Source organism: Homo sapiens, chromosome 6, assembly GCF_000001405.40.
Source record: "Homo sapiens chromosome 6, GRCh38.p14 Primary Assembly".
Taxonomy (NCBI): Eukaryota; Metazoa; Chordata; class Mammalia; order Primates; family Hominidae; genus Homo; species Homo sapiens.
In genome coordinates this window covers 30,151,054-30,173,246 of record NC_000006.12, presented here as the reverse complement: position 1 = coordinate 30,173,246, position 22,193 = coordinate 30,151,054, and the positions used below count along the sequence as shown (strand labels likewise).

At 46.3% G+C, this 22,193-nt stretch overlaps 2 protein-coding genes across 12 annotated transcripts, besides 1 other annotated feature; one reads left to right on the top strand and one right to left on the bottom strand.

The window, feature by feature from the left end:
* Nucleotides 1–553: 553 nt before the first annotated feature.
* On the bottom strand, nucleotides 554–9,701 carry TRIM15 (tripartite motif containing 15). Of its 4 annotated transcripts, XM_011514987.2 has the most exons (8): nucleotides 9,644–9,701; nucleotides 9,182–9,245; nucleotides 5,976–6,071; nucleotides 4,717–4,947; nucleotides 3,984–4,006; nucleotides 2,631–2,746; nucleotides 2,239–2,271; nucleotides 554–1,415 (listed from the first exon to the last, which is right to left on the bottom strand). In XM_011514987.2, coding segments are annotated over exons 1-8 (1,083 nt in total). In that variant the 5' UTR covers nucleotides 9,646–9,701; the 3' UTR covers nucleotides 554–897. The 4 variants fall into 4 exon arrangements, with proteins under 4 accessions (XP_011513289.1, NP_150232.2, XP_011513290.1 ...); NM_033229.3 differs by having other exon boundaries at nucleotides 9,182–9,701; XM_011514988.3 differs by lacking the exons at nucleotides 5,976–6,071; nucleotides 9,182–9,245; nucleotides 9,644–9,701 and having other exon boundaries at nucleotides 4,731–4,913.
* Nucleotides 952–1,501: an enhancer, noted in NCBI's record as "H3K4me1 hESC enhancer chr6:30139523-30140072 (GRCh37/hg19 assembly coordinates)". NCBI's record gives its function as "activates a minimal SCP1, AML or CMV promoter by ChIP-STARR-seq in primed H9 embryonic stem cells {active_cell/tissue: H9 hESC(primed)}" and the evidence as "EXISTENCE:reporter gene assay evidence [ECO:0000049][PMID:30033119]".
* Nucleotides 9,238–21,304, top strand: TRIM10 (tripartite motif containing 10). Of its 8 annotated transcripts, XM_011514223.3 has the most exons (10): nucleotides 9,819–10,119; nucleotides 11,544–11,665; nucleotides 11,785–12,079; nucleotides 12,449–12,817; nucleotides 14,002–14,097; nucleotides 14,618–14,848; nucleotides 15,856–15,878; nucleotides 16,193–16,308; nucleotides 17,488–17,520; nucleotides 18,761–21,304. In XM_011514223.3, exons 3-10 carry the CDS (start codon nucleotides 11,966–11,968, stop codon nucleotides 19,276–19,278), a joined length of 1,500 nt encoding a protein of 499 aa, XP_011512525.1. In that variant the 5' UTR covers nucleotides 9,819–10,119; nucleotides 11,544–11,665; nucleotides 11,785–11,965; the 3' UTR covers nucleotides 19,279–21,304. The 8 variants fall into 8 exon arrangements, with proteins under 8 accessions (XP_047274007.1, XP_047274008.1, XP_011512525.1 ...); XM_047418051.1 differs by adding an exon at nucleotides 9,238–9,316 and having other exon boundaries at nucleotides 9,881–12,079; XM_047418052.1 differs by adding an exon at nucleotides 9,245–9,316 and having other exon boundaries at nucleotides 10,021–12,079.
* Nucleotides 21,305–22,193: the final 889 nt, after the last annotated feature.

Here is a 22,193-nt window from a genome sequence, read left to right as displayed (position 1 = left end):
TTGCTTTTTAAAGTTATTTTAACCTGTGGTCTGTTTCTGTGTCCAAATAATAACTGCAGTAATAACAAATATTTGAGAGGTTAGTTAGACCTGAGCAAAAGCCTCGTTTTCTTAAACAATGGGGCCTGGTGATTGTCCCACTGTCTGTCATCAGGGATATCCTGACTAAAAGAAGGGACAGGATTGTGTCTTGGTCACAGAGGGATCATCACCCTTCCTCTCTGCATCTACTCCCTCGAGCCATCTCGGCCCTAAATTGCCAACACAGGCAGATCCCATTGGATTTAAGCCTTTCTCCAGTCCCATCAGCGCTAATTGGACACATGGAATCCAGAGGTCTGTGAGTCACACTTTCTTAGGACATTCTCTACAAGTCCAGAGAAATGACCAGAAGGGAAGGGAAAGGAAGGGGCCCTGGGGTCCACCCAGGGCTGATAAAAAGGCCCTAAGCCCTACAAAGGTGGAGGCATCTTCAGGTGTGTGTCAAAGTACGAAGTTAACTGTACAAATTAGTGCAAGTCCAGCAAAACCCTGATTTTTCCCAAGATAATTATTTTGAAACAGTTTAAACATTTTATTTTAGATGTCTTTTTCTTTTTTTTCCCCGAAAGCCCGCTGGCTCCTAGGTTGGCTGTTGCCCTAGGCACAGCCGAAGCCGTCTGTGGTTCTGCACTCTGAGGTACAGAGAAGGCCAGAGCGTCACAGGGAGGCTCAGGACGTCAGGGAGCTGAGGGCCTAAGATAAATAAAGTAAAAACAACCGCTGTTCGAGACTCAAGTCCCCTGTTCTCTCGCCTCACGCGGGCACAGGGAGCCCCCGGGCCGCACACTGGCCAGGGGCGGAGCTGGATCCCGGAGAGCCGCCGTCTCCGCTTCGCCGCCCTTCGCGCGCCCCACTTCAGCCTTTCAGCGTAAGGCAGGAACCTTTTTTCCAGACGGCAAAGAAAGGGAAGACTTTGCCGGAGAAAGAGGCAGTGAAGGTGAAGATGGGCTCCTGGGTCTGGGCGTTGTGGAGGGTCACCTGCCCCGCCTCGTAGTCCAGGGCGACTCTCACGCCGCGCGGGATCTCGCTCAGCGGCAGGTCGGTGCCCGGGGAGGTGCTGGCCCAGCACTGCTGGTGCGAGATGATCACGGCCCAGACGCCGTCCTCGGCGCTGAGTCCCATCTCTCCCTTCCTCCTCACCCCCTCCCCGGCCACCCCCACCGTGCAGCCGCCGCCGTCGCCCAGCTGCAGGTCAACCTGCCAGCGGTGGCGCCCGGAGGAGAAGCCCGGGAAGCCCAGAACCGCCGGGAGGCCGTCGAAGCGCAGGGGGCTGTCTGGCAGGCTCTTCTTCTGCCGGGTGTACCTCACTGACTTCCTGTCTTCCGAGAGAACCAGGCTCCGGCTGGCGGTCTGAGGGTCCAGAGTGATGACCCCTAGAGGGAGGAGCGCGCAGACATCAACAGCGGGCGGCAACCACAGATGTTCCTAGAGCAGGCAACGCACGTGGGAGGCAGAAGGAGTACTGGACTTGGGCAGCCTGCCATTGGGCCACTTCTCTGAACCGCCCTTCTACCTAATCAGCAAGTGGTGCTGTTAAGGATTTGCTTCTCAAAGTGCAGCGGGAGGGACCAGCAGCATCCCCACCACCTGGGTGTTTGTTAGAAATGCAGAATATTGGGCCCCATCCCACCCTACTAAATCAGAATCTGCATTTTAACAGGATCCCTAGGAGACGTTTCTGCATATTAAGTTTGAAAAGCACTTACCTATACCAGAGTGAGTGAGGTGATGCTTATGGAAACAACTTCTAAATTAAGCACCAATTTAAAAATAAATGTGATTTTTAAAAAATTGCACATTTTTTGTTCAAATCAGTAGAGAGCCCAGCACAATGCTCTCAAAAAACTAGGGCTTGATAAGTATTTTTCAACGAGTAATATCTACACAAGTAGATGACATTAATTGAGCACTTACTATGAGTCAGGTAATATACTAAGCTCTTTGCATGTATTAATTTATTTTGTCCTCACAGCTACTTATGGGACAGGTACAGTACTTTTATTTTCATTTTACTGATGAAGAAAATATTGTGGGACAGAGGCTTAATAACTTGCCCAGTGTCTCAGAGCTAGCAAGAACTGGAATCGAGAACTCAAGCAATCAAGCTCCAGAATTCATGCATTTTATTGCTCTGTTTGCTGCCATGGATTGAATGGATGAATGGAAGAATGACTCCCCAAATCCCAAGCTGTTTACCTGAATCTATTTCCAGATGATGCGCCAAGTTTTCTGAGGGAAGCAGAAATAGAAAGAGAGATCTGTGACTTATTACTTCTTATAGGCACCCCCAGGGGCAAGGTGACTTGAGTACAATGTGAAGATGAGGACAGAAGACTCGGCTTCTGCTGTGGTCTAGTGGAGGAGAAGGGTCCTCACCCTCCTGGACTCTCAGTCCTGCACCTGTCCTTAGGGAGTGGAGGAGATGCTCTGGGAATAGTGCCCCTGAATAAATTGAGATCACTAAGGGAAGGCTCTGGGGAGGGAAGATGTCTCGAGCCAGGTTTCAAGGGCAGAGAAGGATGGAGATGGGTGGAAGACAGGAGGGCAGCTAATGGGACTGGGGAAAACTGTGGCGCCTTCCCCTTTACCTGAGAACATCCTCATCATCTCTGGGAGGGTGAGTATTTTCCTGTGGAAATCACGGATCTTCTTGACAAGGTCAGGAGAAATGGCCTCAGGACTCACAAAAGTCTTCATCTCACACCTGCAGACAGGTTTGGTAACCAGTTAGGTCCAAATTCCAAAAACAAATGTTCGGGTGAGACCACGTGAGGCTAAAATCAGACTAAAGAATGATCTTGGCGTCTGTGGTGAATAATGAAATTGAGTATCATTTCTTTACTTTTGCTGGAAATGTGTAGTTACTAAAATAGTAGGCATTTCAGTTAAACCTAAGAGGAACTAAGGATAATCACTTCTCAAGAATTGGAGGTAAGCCCCTTTAGGAGAATGTTTGGTTCTGTAGGGGCTGAGGGACAGAGATCATTACCCCTTTTGGTCTCTAGAGGGCAACAGGGTACCATTTGAAAACAGCCTTAAACTACCCTTGTGTATGCTGCTATTTGTAAAGGAAAAGAGGCTAGAAGGGAAGAAAAAAAAAGGATCAACGAAAATATATATTGCAATGAAAAAAACTCCTGATTCTGGTCCCAGCTCAGTCCTCATTAGACACTTGCTGCATTACCTTGAAGACTCTTCACCCCCTGGGTCTCAGTTTCTTCCTCAGACTGGAAGACCTCCAAGCCCTTCTAGATCTAAACCTCTAATGCTCTTTGAAAAGCATGTTTGGAGACACTTCCTGATTCATGGACCCTGGGTTTATCCTCCCTGCACGGGAATAGGCACAAAGCACGTGACAATTGTTCCCTAGTCACTACACCTCTCTTCATCTCAGTGCAGACTGCTAATGCTTATAGCAGACAGGGAAGGAAAGGGCCATGCATTTACAATGCCACTGGCTCCTGGTGGCTGTCCTTTTACAGTAGCATTAGAAAATTCTGAAGGAAACCAGAGATGTGTGTAAAAAATGAATGAATGAAAGAACAGGCTGGTATTCCTGGTTTCCATGCTTATCATAGTCTACAGAAAGTATTCCCCCTTTAAATTACATTTTAAATGGTGTTAGATACTGACTCAAGTACTAATAATTTCATAGATTAAATAAATGTTCCTGGATCAACCTAAAAACATGATTATTATTTATAACTTCACTTCTAGGGGAAAAAATGTGTCCCCAATACCAACCAATCAATTTAAAAATGAACCTTTAGAACGCAAATCTTTAGTGAGTTTGGACTGTTTGTGCACAGTTGAATGAGACAGTGTGTCTGCCAGAGTGCCTTTGCTTTCCTGGCAAAGTGGGTGGCAGTAAGTGCCCCTGCCCCTTCCCATTCAGTCTTGATGTTGAGTAAAAGGAGGCAGGACCGGGGAGTGGGCCCTACCTGCTCTGGTTGACTCTGACATCCTGCAAAAGAAAGACAAGAACATACATTTAGTTTCCATAAGTCCTTCCTGTCAGGGATTCTGTACATCACTTTTCCCTTAAAATATGAACTCAAAACTCTCCTTCTGCAGAGAGTTGTCCTGTTTAATTACCTACTCATTAGATTGTTCTTTTACATCATGTTTTCTTACTAATTTGGGTTTCTGTAGTCAGTTCATTTGTGCTGGTTTCCCTGTTTCAGCCTTATCGTGGGGGTGGGTTGTGTCTGCAATGATTAGGAGGTGGTAGAGAGCAGGGGCCTGCCTTCAGTTATCAGCTGGACCTGATGTGAGCCAGGATCACATATTCATAACCATAGCAGACACCAGTTATTGAGTTCTTTCTGTATATCAGGAATCATGCCAAGCATTTTTTATGGATTGTTTCTTATAATTTTGCAATAACTTTATGAGGGAGGTGCTATTGCTGTCCCCATGTTTAGAGAGGCTAAGAGACTCACTCAAGTCACACAATTGGAAGAGCCAACATTCAAATCCAAGACTGTCTGACCCTAAACCCCTTAACATGACCACAGTGTATGACTTGGGCAAGTCTCCAGCCCCTCTGGATCTGCACCCCGTTAACCTCTCTCCACTTCCCTTTCCTGCCTCTCTCCAGCCCAAAGCATGGTGCCCACCCCCTTCCCCGTGGAGTCCCTCTCTTATCCTACAAAGTGGTGAAGTGTCTCTCACTTGTAGAAGCTCACTTGCTGGCTGCTGACACTTCTCCTCCAGCTCCTTGACCTGGGCTCCAAGCCGGGTGACTTCCTCAGAGACCTTTGTGATATATTCATCCCTCTCCTTCCAAATCTGCTGCTCCAGCTCCCTCAGCCTGGCCAGCAGGAGACATCGCTGCTGCTCCAGCTCCTGCTGCAGCCTCTCAAAAGCTGTTTCCACCTGATGCTTCTTGCTTTCGATCTGAGTCTTCAAGGGATAAAAGGCAGACATGGTTAGGAAGGGGCTCAGAGATAGCTTCCAGGATGATCATCTATATACTTATTATTGATTAACAGGGATAGGGAGCAACTGGTCCAAGACTCATTCCATTTACTAATATGCCTAGAAGTAGTTAGGTCTCAGGATGAACTTACCAATGATGAGGGCTGTGCTACTGTCTTAGCTAGATACTCTAATAATAATGCTACATTATGCTCTCAGAATGATGTTGAACTTTTCAAAAATATTTCCACAACTACAATACCATCATAACCCTACTATGCCTTCTTAGAGTTAGGTGGGGAAGACTGTAATAATTTCTTAGAGGCAAAAGGAAGTTGTGATTGGAGTCAACACAACTTAGTGGGAGAGTGTGTAATTTTGGTTTTAGCCGTGGAAATCACCAACTACAGGGCATACGTTGATGAGAGCTGAGGGATGGTGGATAGGTTGCTTTGTCCCCACACTCTCTCCTTGGTCAAGGTACCAGAAATCCTCACACTGTGATTCCTCCATAACTTTATAGCATGAAAAGAGAGGCGTGAGGGATCCAGATGTAGCCACACCATCAGCCTACTCTCCTCAAGGTCAGCCTGTAGTCAGGACTAGAATCCCGACACTAACATATGTTTTTGACCCCAAGCTTCCCATCTGAAGGTGGTGTGTTCAGGCAAACAGACTAGGATGGAAAGAACAATGAATTAAGGGTCAAGAAATCCAGGTTCCTCATGAACTTCAGCTTTGCTATGTGGCCTTGGGAGCATTGCTTTTCTGGTCCTAAGTTTTCTGCTCTGTAAAATGTGATATACAAGATGGATCTTGGATTGCAAGACATCAGAACCACTTCTAGTGCTCATGGTCTGAGATCCCAAATGCCTTTGTGCAGCCACAGGAAGGTGAACGAGAACAGTTTGTCAGTTCTTTTCAGCCAGGAAACAGATACCAGCCAACGGGTTTCCCCAGAGTCTCTTAAGAAAACCTTCAAAGGAAAAGGTAGCCAGTGACGTGGCCTGTACCAGCAGCACTTGAAGCTTCTGGTCTTCTTGACACTTTACATCCTCAATCTCATCTCTCTCCGTGCTCAGAGCTTCCAGTCGACTCCTGAGACGATCCTGTGGGGAGAAGAATGGGTGGATAGAGGTGACTGAATTAATAATTCAACTCACAATTATTAACTATCACATCCTGGGCACACTGTTGAGTGCTGAGGGGTTCAAAGGTGGAAAAGGCCCAGTCCTTGCCCTAAAGAGACCACCATCTCAGGAAGAAGTCAATGTCAAGTGATTAAAATACAGATAGATAAATGCAATAGTCCAGGGGTACACACAGTGAGATGGGAACACAGAGGTCAGCTCTGCCTGTAGGCCTAAGGGAAGGTTTGGAAAGCAGAAAACATTTACAATGTGCCTTGAAAGATAAATTTCCAGTTGAATAGAGAGGGAGAGAAAAGGACTTAGTGCCCACAGATGTGAAGGACCTCTTCAAGGAGAACTACAAACCACTGCTCAAGGAAATCAGAGAGAACACAGACAAATGGAAAAACATTCCATGCTCATGGATAGGAAGAATCAATATTGTGAAAATGGCCATACTGCCCAAAGTAATTTATAGATTCAGTGTTATCCCTATCAAGCTACCATTGACTTTCTTCACAGAATTAGAAAAAACTACTTTATATTTCATATGGAACCAATAAAGAGCCCACATAGCCAATACAATCTTAAGCAAAAAGAATGAAGCTGGAGGCATCATGCTACCTGACTTCAAACTATACTACAAGGCTGTAGTATATGATATCAAATATGTCTGGTATCAAAACAGACATATAGACAAATGGAACAGAAGAAGGGCCTCAGAAATAACACCACACATCTACAACCATCTGATCTTTGACAAACCTGACAAAAACAAGCAATGGGGAAAGGATTCCCTATTTAATAAATGGTGTTGGGAAAACTGGCTAGCCATATGCAGAAAACTGAAACTGGACCCCTTCCTTACACCTGAAATAAAAATTAACTCAAGATGGATTAAAGACTTAAACGTAAGACCTAAAACCATAAAAACCCTAGAAGAAAACCTAGGCAATACCATTCAGGACATAGGCATGGGCAAAGACTTCATGACTAGAACACCAAAAGCAATGGCAACAAAAGCCTAAATTGACAAATGGTATCTAATTAAATGAAAGAGCTTCTGCACAGCAAAAGAAACTATCATCAGAGTGAACAGGCAACCTACAGAATGGGAGAAACATTTTGCAATCTATCCATCTGACAAAGGGCTAATATCCAAAATCTACAAAGAACTTAAACAAATTTACAAGAAAAAAACAAACAGCCCCATCAAAAAGTAGGTGAAGGATATGAACAGACACTTCTCAAAAGAAGACATTTATGTGGCCAACAAACCTATGAAAAGAAGCTCATCATCACTGGTCATTAGAGAAATGCAAATCAAAACCACAATGAGATACCATCTCACACCAGTTAGAATGGTGATCATTAAAAAGTCAGGAAATAACAGATGCTGGAGATGATGTGGAGAAATAAGAATGCTTTTACAATGTTGGTGGGAGTGTAAATTAGTTCAACCGTTGTGGAAGACAGTGTGGCAACTCCTCAAGAATCTAGAATGAGAAATACCATTTGACCTGGCAATCCCATTACTGGGTATATACCCAGAGGATTATAAATTATCCTACTGTAAAGACACATGCACACATATGTTTATTGCAGCACTGTTCACAATAGCAAAGACTTGGAACCAACCCAAATGTCCATCAATGATAGACTGGATAAAGAAAATATGGCACATATATGCCATGGAATACTATGCAGGCATAAAAAAGATGTGTTCATGTCCTTTGCAGGGATATGGATGAAGCTGGAAACCATCATTCTCAGCAAACTAACACAGGAACAGAAAACCAAACACCACATGTTCTTACTCATAAGTGGGAGGTGAACAATGAGAACACATGGACACAGGGAGGGGAACATCACACATCGGGGCCTGTCAGGGCTTGGGGGACTAGGGGAGGGATAGCATTAGGAGAAATACCTAATGTAGATGATGGATTGATGGGTGCAGCAAACCACCATGGCACGTATATACCTATGTAACAAACCTGCACGTTCTGCATATGTATCCCAGAACATGTATAATAAAAAAAAAAAGAAAAGGACTTAGTGCCCCTGAATTGTATACTTAAAAACAGAGAGAGAGGTGGGAGGAAGGGAGAAGAGTATTCTAGGAGGAAGAGACTATGTGCAAAAAGTATTGGAAGCAGGAATGAATAAGACAACTCAGGAAAAAACAGCAAGTGCAGCTCAGTCTGGCCAGACACGTGGTGCCTTGAGGAGGGAGGCTGAGCGATGAGGCCGGACAGGGAGGAAGGATCCCGACTGCAAAGGGCCTTGAATGTCTTGCTAAAGACCTTGGACTTTCTTTGGGCACTAGGTATACATGGGAGGATTTTGTGCAGATGAGTGACTTTGTGTTTTAGGAGGATCTGTCTCCCAGCAGATTGGAAGGTGACTGGAAAGGGTGAGAATGGAGACAGGAAATGCCATGGAGACTGCAAAGTCTGCGCAAGAGATAGGGAGAACCTGGCTGTGAGGATAAGGCAGAATTAAAGATTTGGGAGATGTTTCTAAGGTAACCACTTCCAGACCTGGTGACTGGATGACAAGAGAGAGATCTGAGAGGCTGACAGGAAAGTGCCCCAAGGCCAGATGGGGAATTCTCACAATTCTGGACTACTGCCACCCTCCCTTTCTCAAGAAGAAGAGCAGTGCTAGCAGGTTCCCCTTCCCAGCTCCTCCCTCCCCTCTGCGCCCTGGCAGTCAGGGCCCTATAAACCCCATTTCCAGTCTGGATCCTGGGAGAACAAGTTTACCCTGCCCATAATCTGCAGAAGATCCCACTCGGCATTGGAGCTTTCTTTCCATAGTGAGTGAAGCCAAGGCTACAGTTCTTTGCACTCCACCTCTGTGGGGTCCTCTGAGAGCTGGAGCTGAAGTTCCCCCCAGACCAGGAACTACCACACATCCAAGTGGAGCCCTATCTGCCTTCAGTCTGGGAATGCCTCGAAAGTCCCTGTAACCTTAGGGTTCCCTGATGTGGAAGCCTTTCATCCAGATCCCCGCCCGATTTCCTCCCCTCATAACAGGACATCATCCTGCCCCAAACAGGCCCTAGGTAAAGCTACACTTCTTACCCGGTAGGGCTGAATGGCCTCGTCCAGGAACCCCACGGTGTGCGCCTGGTGCGTGGGACCCTCCCTGCAGAACACACAGAGGAACTCGGCATCGTTCTCGCAGAAGAAGTAGATCTTCTCGCCGTGCTCCTCGCAGTAAGTTTCTCCCAGCGGGCCCAGGGGCACAGGGGCCATGGGAGTCTCTGCCTGCTCCTCCTCTTGGCAGAGCGGGCAGAGCAGGATCTTGCCCGAGGATTGGGCCCCCATCTGGGAGAGCGCGGGGAGGCAGAGCCGGCAGAAGGTGTGTCCACAGGGAATGGTCACCGCATCCTCCAGCGGCCCCGCACAGAGGGTACAGGCAGGCAGCTCATGGACCACCTTCAGGGACGGGGTTGCGGGCATCACGGTGCCTTCCCCAGCCCGTCCACTCCGGTCTCCTCAGCCCACGCGAGTTCCCTTTCCCTGAAATCGAGTCACACTTACATGAATCGCAGAGGGAAACGGCTGCAAGGCTAAGAGACAGAGAGAGAGAAAGAGAGAGAGAGGCAAGAATGCCAGCACAGGGAAGCCACCTGGCTCCGCCTCTTGTGTTCCCTAGAACCCTGGCCACCACCTATCAGCGGAGTGGGTCCAAATTCCAGGGCGTCTCGAATTACCCAGAATTTCCCAGTGGCGGCCAAGTAAGCCAGTTCTTTACTCCTGGCTCCTTCTGGTCCCTAGGGTGGAGAACAGAGCACACCATGAGGTCACAGGGGGATGGGTTTCCTGGAATCTGTAGACCACAGTGGCTGGGGAGAACTGGGGAGCAGAAGCTTCCTGTCAGATTGAGCAGGTGGGAGCCATAAACTTCTGGCTCTGAGGCGTGCCCACAGCATCAAAGTCCAGGCTGGAGTGAGAGGTGTGGACTTCGGGAGATTCTGCCGGAAGTGTGTGGGCGGGACGCTGTTTCGACACTGCAGGTAGGGTGTAAGGATTGCTCATCGGGTCCCCTCTTCTGCTCTCCTTTCCTCCCTCACCACATCTGCCCATGGTGGCCCCTCCTACGGTCCCAAATCCCCCACCACCTGGCACAACAGTCCCCTTTGGGGTTCGGGTAACACTGGACTATTTTATTTATTTATTTATTTATTTATTTATTTATTTATTTATTTATTTTTACTGTAGCGGGGAGAAGGCAAGAAACCATAATGCAAATGATTTATGTTGATACACATTAGAAAACGATTAGTCAGATAATCAGTTTCAACCACATTTATCTAGGGTTTAGTATTTTTATATTACTACATTCAATTTTAATAACCCTCTAGGCAAACATTATTACCTTCATTTTACAGAGAAAGAAATGTAAACTGACTTTCCAAATGTAAAGTGACTTTCCAAAGGTCACAAAGCTAGAAAGTATCACGTTAAGGACGATCCCAGTCTCCTGGCTTAAAGCCCTACGCTCCTCCCACACCTCATGCCAAGACCAAGATCTGCAGCCACGGTCCTTCACCCATGCACACATCTGTGGATAAAACCAGGCCTTCCCCCATTCTCCCACTGGGTGATCAGCCTAGCCCCTTGTGGTTGCTCCCTTTTTACTCTAATCACTTTATTACCTCCCCTTCCCATCCAATCTCTGCTCTTCCTGCCACGAGTGCAGCCCAGGAACTAGTTTGTCCAATACAGGAGCCACCAGCCACATGTGTCTACTGAGCACTGAAATGTGGCCGGTCTGAATGGCGGCATGCTGTATATGTAAAATACATACCGGATTTCTTTTTTTTCTTTTTCTTTTTCTCTTTTTTCTTTTCTTTTTTTTTTTTTTTGAAATGGAGTCTCGCTCTGTCTCCCGGGATGGAGTGCAGTAGCGCGATCTTGGCTCACTGCAAGCTCCTCCTCCCGGGTTCACACCATTCTCCTGCCTCAGCCTCCCGAGTAGCTGGGACTACAGGCGCCGGCCAGCACGCCAGGCTAATTTTTTTGTATTTTTAGTAGAGACGGGGTTTCACCGTGTTAACCAGGATGGTCTAGATTTCCTGACCTCGTGATCCGCCCGCCTAGGCCTCCCAAAGTGCTGGGATTACAGGCGTGAGCCACCGCGCCCGGCCAACACACCGGATTTCAAAGGCTTTTCACAAATTTAAAAATGTAAAATATCTTATTAATGACTTTTTATATGGATCACATATTGAAATGATAATATTTTGGAAATATAGGACTAAATAAAATAACATCATTAAAATTACTTTCACCTGTTTAGACTATTTTTATATGGCCACTAGGAAATTTTAAATTGCATATGTGGCTCACTTTGCGTTTATGTTGAATAGCATTGCTCGGAAGACAGATCTGACAGCAAATTATTTATGGTCACTCACCTTCTTACTTGTGTGCCTAGGGCAAGCTGAATAACCTGGCTGGGCCTCAGCTTTCTCATTTATGAAATGGAGATCCTAATAGCACTGATGTTGCAGAGCAGACACAGAAATAAGATCATACTTTTAAATTGCTTGTATCAATGTAAGTTGTACCGTCATTGTAAATAAATTCTGGCCAAATTGCTTGTATCAATGTAAGTTGTACCGTCATTGTAAATAAATTCTGGCCGTTAGTAGTTTTCTTTCTCCTCCCCATCATAGGGAATATTCCAGCCTCTTTTGAGGCCTGCAGCAGGCCAGTTGAGGCATCACCATTGAAGTTGCTGGTGCAGTGTACACCCTGGCACAAGGACCTTATCTGAGCCCCCACACTCTCCTGCTTGCTGATGGGCAAGCCCTGGGCTGGCTGATACCTCCAATCTCTTTGGAGACAGCTGGCCATATGGCAGAAAGGCTGGAATGGCATCTCCACTCTGTGACCCAGTCTCCCACTTGCCCCCAAAAGAATATTTCTTCTGACAGTGGACAGCTGACATATCACCACTTTCCTTCTACTGTGAGTGTCTCTGGATGGGCAGAAAGGAATGGCCAGCCCCTGGTTATGGTCATCTAAGGTCACCTCTGAAATGCTGTGAGCCCCTCTTCCTTCCTCTCCTCTGCTATTTCCCATCTCTGCTGTTGGCAGGAGAATAGAACCCTGGCTGCCAGAGATGCAAGTGTGTGACGATATGGGTGCTGGTGCATATTTAGTATGTGCCTGTGTCCAGCCATGTGCATGTGTGGGTGTGTGAGTGTGTGACCCAGCCCTTCCCCCGTGGCCAAGCAGAGAGAGTGGCCTTGAGGAAGCCATAGCAGCAGGACCAGCATGGCCTCTGCTGCCTCTGTGACCAGCCTGGCAGATGAAGTCAACTGCCCCATCTGTCAGGGTACCCTGAGGGAGCCGGTCACTATCGACTGCGGCCACAACTTCTGCCGGGCCTGCCTTACCCGCTACTGTGAGATACCAGGCCCAGACCTGGAGGAGTCCCCTACTTGCCCACTCTGCAAAGAACCCTTCCGTCCTGGGAGCTTCCGGCCCAACTGGCAGCTGGCTAACGTGGTGGAGAACATTGAGCGCCTCCAGCTGGTGTCCACACTGGGTTTGGGAGAGGAGGATGTCTGCCAAGAGCACGGAGAGAAGATCTACTTCTTCTGTGAGGATGATGAGATGCAGTTGTGCGTGGTGTGCCGGGAGGCTGGGGAGCACGCTACCCACACCATGCGCTTCCTGGAGGATGCAGCGGCTCCCTATAGGGTAGGAAAGGGGAACTGGGGGATCCCAGGGTGGACTGGACTGGACTAAGAGAAACAGCAGAGTTGTGGATTATTTAGGCCACCCGGAGGCCAAATTCTTTCTCCTTACTTACATGATCACCCAGGCAATAGACCCAGGCATGGAAAATTGTGTTTATGTTTTATGTTTTTTTGAGTGTGTTCTGTGTTCACTTGTGGCCAACAGATAACGGGAGTTCAACAAGTACTTGTTGAATGAATGAGTGACCAAACATGAGTGTGTGTGTCTGTGCCATGGATCAGGTGTGTCTGAAGTTTGCATTTGAGGGAATGATTGTACAAACAGTGTGTATATGTGTTAATGTTTGCATGTTTAGAAGTGTGTCTGGTGTGTTTGGATGGGAGTCTGAGTATGTATATATTTGAGTGTGTAAGTGTAACTGAGAGCTCCTGTTTGTGAATAAATTCGTGTTTACATATATTCAGGCTGGGTAAATGTATGTGGCATGCCATTTTATCTGTCATTAAATGAATGTGTGCTGGTTTTAGTTGTTTATGCATTGTGCTTATGAATTATGTTTTAGTACAAGTCTGTGTGTGGATGTCTTAATTAGTTAATTAGCAGTTGATAGTGAGAATTCTAATATATCTTTGAACACACATATTTATCGTGTGTGTACCTGTTCCTAACTCTATTCTGGAGCAAATAATTTTGAAAACAATTTATCAATTATTTTTACATTACCCAAGTTTCTTCTCCCCTCTGGAGTCATACACAGATAATTGATTTCAGTAACAAGGGAGGGTTGTTATTTACACATGTTCCTTTGGGATGAGTCGGAAACTCAGAATGATTTCAGTGCGGGGCATATCAAACTCAGTACAGACCCCAGATACCACTTACCCGAAGCAAAACACAATAGAATGTTAAACCTGAAGAAAGACTCAAGTGGGAAAACCAAGTCACAGCCTCTAATGGCACAGGATAAAGGGGGAAAGTCCTGATCCAAAGTCTTAGAGACAAATCAAGAGGAAGAAGACCCAAAGGGAGTAAGCTGTCAGGGTGGTGAAGGCTCGGGGATTGTCAGCTAAGGAAGGGACTCCTCTCCTGGGGCCATTTCATTCCTGGAGGCAGAGGGTCAGATGACCAGACAAACCTGAACAAATCATTTTCCATCTTGAGTATTTTATGTTCCTTCTCCCCAGGAACAAATCCATAAGTGTCTTAAATGTCTAAGAAAAGAGAGAGAGGAGATTCAAGAAATCCAGTCAAGAGAAAATAAAAGGATGCAAGTCCTCCTGGTAAGTCATCACCCCTTCCCCAGGTTCCTCCCCTTCCTCAGGGTCCAGTGTCTTCCTGAAACTGAGGCAACATAGATTATAGGGCTTTGAAGTTATTATGAGTTTAAATCCTGACTCTGACACTAACTCTATGACCTCAAGCAACTCTCCAACTTCAGTTTACTTATCTGTAAAATGGAGAGTAAAAATCATCATGACCTCATTGAATTACTGTAAGCATTAAATGAGATTGTGACTGTAAAGTAGCTCAGGGCTGTGCACATAATGTGCTTTTCATACAAGACAGGAGGTAGGGTGTCCCCACCACCTCCTCCTACACCTCCTGTAAGCCCTACCCCTTTTAGAAGCTGCAGCAGATGGTGCTGAGACAACACTGTGAGTCTTGCTTCTCGAAATGGGATGACAAGTGAAAAGGAAACCATGACACAGTTCCAGATCTACCTGGGGACAGGGGAGGAAGAGGAGCAGAGGGAGAAGGAGGAAGCAAACTTTCTCTTGGGCTTGCCTCCTGCCCCCTCAGACTCAGGTGTCCACCAAGAGACAACAGGTGATTTCTGAGTTCGCACACCTGAGGAAGTTTCTAGAGGAACAGCAGAGCATCCTCTTAGCACAATTGGAGAGCCAGGATGGGGACATCTTGAGGCAACGGGATGAATTTGATTTGCTGGTTGCTGGGGAGATCTGCCGGTTTAGTGCTCTTATTGAAGAACTGGAGGAGAAGAATGAGAGGCCAGCAAGGGAGCTCCTGACGGTGAGGCCTGAACCGGAACCCTGCCCCACCTGTGCTGTCCTGTGACTCTTGCATCTTTGTCTTGCCTAAGCCATGTCTCCCTGACTCACACATCTCTGTATCCCAGATGGGAGGTGGGTCAGAGGACCAGAAAGTCTCAATTCTAGTTCATGCTTTTCCAAGAGTTCCCTGGTCACTTTTTGCTCTCTGGTCTCCACCTCTCCGTCCCACCATCTGCCAAATAGGGAAGATACTTTCCTTAAATATTTCACAGGGCTTTTGTGAGGATCCAACAGTAAGATGGAAGTGAAAGTAGCACTTTGAAAAAGTATTAAGTAAGTTGCAAACCATTCTCTATAACCTAAATGTCACCAACCACCAGTCAGGAAGTTTGTCCTGGTCTATTTCACTTCCTCACACTGGAGGAGAGGTATTGGGGTCCCCACAAAGTATTGGAAAGGCAGCATGACTTAGAATGATGCTCTTAGGACTGAGAAACAGGAGACCTTGGTATGAGACTTACTTTGCCTCCAGTGAGCAGGGGAAGGTCACTTCACCATCTTTATCTAAAAAATAAAGGCTTTGGGCTCTGATCCACAGAGATGGGTGAGTCCTAATGCTCTGTGACTCTATGCATCTGGTATCCTTTTCCTGTCCAGGGCTAGAAATATATTTTGTCTTTTCCAGTCATAAGAAAAGTGGGAGGAGCCTGGGCAACATAACAAAACCCCATCTCTACAAAAAAAAAAAAAAAAAAAAAAAGAAAATTAGCCAGGCATGGTGACAAACACCTGTAGTCCCAGCTACTCAAGATGCTGAGGTAGGAGGATCCCTTGAGCCCAGGAGGTTGAGTATGCAGTGAGCCATGATCACGCCACTGTATTCCAGCCTGGGCACCAGAGTGAGACCCTTTCTCAAACAAACAAACAAGCAAATAAAAAATAAATAAAATAAAAGTAGAAAAAGAAAGGAAAGAAAAATGGAAAGGAGAAGCTGGAAACTGAATTTCTGGTATCTCTTTCTCCTAGGACATCAGAAGCACTCTAATAAGGTAAGCAATATAGTTTCTCTCTTTTCTTTTTCCATATAAATATACATACATGTACTGCATGCCTAGTTATTGCCACACAGGTATATAACATTCTCACTTAAGGATACAAATTTACATATAAACCTCTATATACCCAAATGCCTTCTCAGGTATATCCATAGATGCCCAAAAATGGGCAGTGGGATTCATCCTAGAGGAAGTACGTCTGCCTGCAGGAACTAGCGCCATCATGCCCTATTAGAAGATGACCAGCTGAGTCTGGAGACATTATTAAGGATGATAATTCCCAGACCCAGCCATTTCTGTGCCCCTAGATGTGAAACCAGAAAGTGCCGGAAACCGGTGGCTGTGTCGCCAGAGCTGGGCCAGAGGATTCGGGACTTTCCCCAGCAGGCCCTCCCGCTGCAGAGGGAGATGAAGATGTTTCTGGGTAAGAGAACCCCAGGCCTCCACAGAGCGCAGGTGGCCATGAAGCCTGGGTTTAGGAGTGGCCTCCACGCTCCACTGCTGAAAGGTGTGACTTTGGCAAGCCTTATTCCTTCCTGTGCCTTGATTTCCTTATTTGCAGATTTTTATAAAATCTGCCTATTAGGATATTGTGACAATGAAGAAAGAGAATAAAGGTGAATATTTCTGGTGAAAAAGTTAAACTGATTTTAAAATAATTCAACAAATCTGATTAGTGGTCATTAAGCAATATGAAAGATAATGATTAACAATATATCATTCTTAATAAGTTAAAAAATCCCACAGCAACATTTGTAATATGTGATAAGTTTTTGATGATGAACATTGTTAATTAATAGCCAACAACAGTATTTATCTTGACCCTGTGGTATCTGGCTCGTCCCTCCTTCCTTCTCACTTTCTTTCTGTTAGTCTGGCTCAGAGTTAGACGGTCCTACGGGGACTGTGCTCCACTTCCTTTTCCGGAACAGGGAGTGGTGGTAGGGTGTGGGGGAGGGTTTGGATGAGAGTCAGGAATGGGACATGGCTCTCTGCCAACCACCTCCTCACTAACCATGACAGAATGAATGATGACACCAATTTTGAAATGACCCACCCACAGTTATGTCACCCTAGAAGGACTTTTCCCATAATTCCATTTCCTGCAAATACTTCCAGTGACCTGTCAGTGAAGGAAATTTCACTCTAATCAAAGGCTGACCTTTGACTCTCCCCAAAATTATTTCCAAGTGGAATAATAAATAAATGAACCCATTTCTCTATTCACTAAGCAGATATTTCTTGAGCATTTACTATGTCCTGGGCTCTGCGGGTACAGAGGTGAGCAAGGCAGTCATGGTCCCTGTTTGATCAGGGCTAGGGCAGTGGGGCTCCCACCAGCAGCAGCAGCTGCATTGCCCAGGAAATTGTTAGAAATACAGATGTTCAGCTCCACCCCAGAGCACCTGAATCTGAAACAGATGTGTTTTAACAAGAGCTCCAGATGATTCTGATGCAAGCTTGGAACCACTGGTCTAGAGGATTCCAGCTTACATTCTTCTTCTTGTCCCTTCCCTCTTCTTGGCCTCAGTTTTCTCATCATTAAGTGTCTGATGGTTTTGTAAGACTAATAAAATCTCATCCTGGTTTATTTTCTTTACAGAAAAACTATGCTTTGAGTTGGACTATGAGCCAGGTAAGGAGCCTATGTCAGGATGGGAGAGAATGAGAAGTCCTCGGAAAGGAGAGAAAATTTTGCAGGATTTGCACTATGACTATGTTATGACTATGACAATAGTCATAACAAACACCCATGGATACATATACACATCATATATATTATATATACACATATGTGTGTGTATATAATACATGTGTGTATATATAGGTTGTGTGTGTGTGTGTGTCACATTGTTTGTAAGGCTCTCAGGAGAAACATGAAGAAAGGACAAGCACATACACATACTACATTCGTGGTATGAAGCTCACATCCTGATCTGCGCATGTCGAGTAGATAGAAAGATTAATGCAGAATGGGATAAAGTCCATCTGGGAATGCTTTCTGGATAAAGGGGACTTTGATCTGGGTTTATAATCACCTCTTTAGAACGTAAGGAACCCCTGCTTCCTCTCAGATGTCATTTCACAGATGACAGAAGGAGGGCGGCCTGTGGGTGGGAAAAAAATGAACAGAATGGACCCCTTCAAGGCTGTCATTTCTCAATCAACCAGCCTAAGACCCTGGGAGTCACGGAGTTGTTGGAGGGGGTTCTCTAACCCACAGATGGACCTAAATTTATGGAAGCTTCTCAATTTATGAATACTAAAAGTAACAAAACGCAAGGCTCTGCAGCAGTTTTTGGTGGTAAAAAGTGGTCCTCAGACTCTGACAGTTTCAGAATTACTGAGGCAGAGTGAATAACCCAGGGGTGAGCCAGAGAGCCTGCCAGGAGGGAAGACTGTAAATGAGTCACCAGTGCCCTGGGAGGAAAACAGGGAGGAATCATGAAGTTTGGACTGAAGGGAGAAATGTCGCTGCACTGTGGGATAGAGATGGGAGGAGGGGAGAATGTGGTATATCAGCCCCAGGAGATCCAAGCTGGCACGCACAGCTTTGGAAACCAGCCAACTTGCGGTGAGCAGAAGAGCTTTCCCGAGGACCACACTGAACTAAACGAGAGCTTTCACATCCTCTGAGGCAGGCTTTTCAGGCTTTACCTGTGTGCAAATCACCTGGGCATCTTGTTAGGATGCAGATTCTGAGAGCGTATATCTAACAAGTTCCCAGGTGGTTCCACACTGTTGGCCCACGTAGGCACTATACATGTTTTTGGTAATAATAACACTAACAGGAGGGGCCCAGGGGGAGTTTCTATGCCTTCCTTGGAGGTAATAGCATGTCTGCTGACATCTGTCCCTTTTGGTTATCCCCACAGCTCACATTTCTCTAGACCCTCAGACTTCCCACCCCAAGCTCCTCTTGTCCGAGGACCACCAGCGAGCTCAGTTCTCCTACAAATGGCAGAACTCACCAGACAACCCCCAACGTTTTGACCGGGCCACCTGTGTTCTGGCCCACACTGGCATCACAGGGGGGAGACACACGTGGGTGGTGAGTATAGACCTGGCCCATGGGGGCAGCTGCACCGTGGGCGTGGTGAGCGAGGATGTGCAGCGGAAGGGGGAGCTTCGGCTGCGGCCAGAGGAGGGGGTGTGGGCTGTGAGGCTGGCTTGGGGCTTCGTCTCGGCTCTGGGCTCCTTCCCCACACGGCTGACCCTGAAGGAGCAGCCCCGGCAGGTGAGGGTGTCTCTTGACTATGAGGTGGGCTGGGTGACCTTCACCAACGCTGTCACCCGAGAGCCCATCTACACCTTCACTGCCTCCTTCACTAGGAAGGTCATTCCCTTCTTTGGGCTCTGGGGCCGAGGGTCCAGTTTCTCCCTGAGCTCCTGAGAAGGAGCAGTTACCTACTCTCCTCTAAGTACAGGACTCATATCAACCCAAGTACCATGTGGACTTGATCCCTGGCTGAATCACCTGGATGACTTGGAATAGAAATGACTGCTTTAGAAGATGGGATGGGGCCGGGTGGTAAGGGATAGAAGAGAGGACTCTCAATCTACTGATCAAGTCCTTTCCCCAATGCCCAGTGGATGGCCAGGGTACCTGGGGACTCAGGCTGCTGCCAGTTCTGCTCACCACCATCCGTGCTTGGCACAGAAGTAGCTGCATAGAAAGGGCACTGGATTTGAAGTCAGAAGACCTGGGTTCTTGAACCAGCCTGTCAACCAGTTGTATGACTTTAAACAAGGCATCTCACCTCTTTTCATCTTGTTTTCTTCCAATAATGTTAGAGTTCATGTAATCACATTCTCTAGAACCATTTAGTTTGTGTTAACTATGAACCAAGCAGTGTGGTGGCCACTGGTGACTTGAAAATATAGAGAAAAAAAAAACCTGCTCTATATCTGAAAGAGCTCTTGGGAAGACAGAGAAACATAAAGAGGAAATTACAGCACAGTGTGGTGGGTGTTACGGGAAGTCCAACCCCAGCATTATGGGAGTTCAGGGGAAGGGGCATAGCCCAGCCTGGAAGGAGAGGGTGAGTGGGGGATGGCTTTCTGAAAAGGGTGGTCTAAAGGATGCCTATGGTCAATAGGGAAAAGAGGGGAAGAAGCATCTTAAGAAGAGGAAACAGCAGAGAACTGGCTGGATGACCTGTGACTCTGGAGCACTGGGTTGTCTCCATTGTCATTATGGGCAGATGTGTGCCATCCCCAGCCGACGCCACTCACTGCCTCCTTCCTCCTGGTGTTGCCACTTCTGGGTGAGATTAAGGTGCAGGGCCTGGGGGCAGGAGGACATAAGGTATAGCCATAAATCATAACCCAGGGACCACACTCAACCCTAGGGAAATTGTCTTCCTGATCAGTTGATTACCATCTGAGGTCAAGAAATGAGATAGTGGGAGCAAATGGGTCACAAATAGCTCAGCTGTGGGCTCAGAAACTGCTAGGTAAAAGAATTCCAGAAGGAGGCCAGGGCATAAGTTGGATGACCTATGAACTTTAGTCTAAAGAATTGAGACTACCGTAATTGAGACTACTGTAGTGACATCTGAGAAATGGGATGGAAGAGTGACCATGTTTTATTTTCTTGTTCTTGTCACTATTGTATTTTATTTTGCATAATCATGCCCTTCACTGACAGTCTCCTTAACATCATCTGTTTACTCTGCTCAGTGTAAACTACAATGCTCTGTCATCTCCCTACTGGGTCTCCTGGGAGGAGGGGAGCCATCCAGGGTGCAAACTCAAAGGCAGAGGGCACAGCGTGCTTAGGCCCAAGCTTAGAATTCAATTGAGAAGTTCTGTTGTTCATCCTTACCTCAGCAGGTAGAAAAGAGGTGGAGATCAGAAGCCAGGGATTAGAGATTGAATTGCTTTCCCTGGGAGTGTGCAGTATCTCATTAAAATGTTGTATATTCAAAAAAATACAGACACACACAAGTGCCTATATAATGATAAAACATATCCAAAGCACCCAAACCTGTGATTCCAGAAAAGTAGATCCTATTTTTGTTTATTTTTATTGGCTTTAGCTGTGTCTTTTGAAAGGACTATTATCCTCTAAAATGTATGTGTATGAAGATCCTGGCTTGCAGCTCGGGAGCTTTACACACCTTGTGTCACTTTATCTTGGTAACGAGCCAAGATCATGCAACCAGTTCATCCATGTCTGACCCAAGAGCTCTTAACTGCTATGCTGCACTGCCTCATTCAGAGATAGATGCCTGCATGGGTCCTGGCGATTATTTTAATGCTGGCTACACCCCCACAGGTGACTTGGATTCAGAAATACAATTTATATTTCTTCTTTTTAAATTGTTTTATTTTATTTTTCTTTTAATAGTTATATGTCAGTGAGAACAATTTATATGTCTTACACTGAGAAATAAAACTGCTCATAAGTGAAAACACTCATGTTGGTCTGTCAGTACCTGCTTCTCCCCTAGGGTAATTTTACTTGAAGTTTACTTGCTTTCGGAGTATGGAGTCAGCACAGGGGAAGTGGATAGATCCTAAAACCTGGTAACTTCAAGATAAGGCAGCTTAATGAACCTCCTTGCTCTGCTGGCCGGAAGTGGGACTCTGGGTTCCCTCCCCAGGAAGTGCTCAAGTCTAGAGGCCCCAGAGTCCCAGCTACCCTTTCCGACTCTGAAGGACTGTTGCACATTTGTAACATCCACAGTTTACACCTCATTTTTCAAAGCTTACATGGTAGCAACCCTTTCTATTGCAAAGAACTGAGACCCACTCAAGTTAGTTCAAATGATAGGTAAGTTTATTATAAAAGCAGAAATAAGGAAAATGCGATTTTCCACCATGAGCCAGGCCCCGTGAGAAGCTATGTCAGGCGTGAGCGAGTTGGTGGGGTCACCACTCGTTCCTGTAGGAAGAACTAGAGATTCCAAAAATGCTGATAACAATCACACACATAGAACTTATTTTGGCCAAACACCATAATAAATATTTGTATATATTAACTCATTTAATCCTCACAACAACCTCAGGAGGTAGGTGCCCATCTTGTACATAAGAGAACTGAGACATGTGGAGGCCGAGCAGCTGGTCTCAAATCAGCTGATAGTAAGTCGCAGAGCCAGCATTTGAAGTCTTGTGGTTTGGCTCCCGAGTCTGTGCTCATGACCATTATGCAGTGGTATGTTGTATGCCCAGGACCTACCGGTAAGAAGTGGGCTCGAAGTCCAAAGAAGCGTGAAGACTGGATATTCCTGCGGCCTCTCAGCAGCATGGGTCATGGACACCTGTTCCAATACATCGTGGCTGCACATGCATCTCTGATTC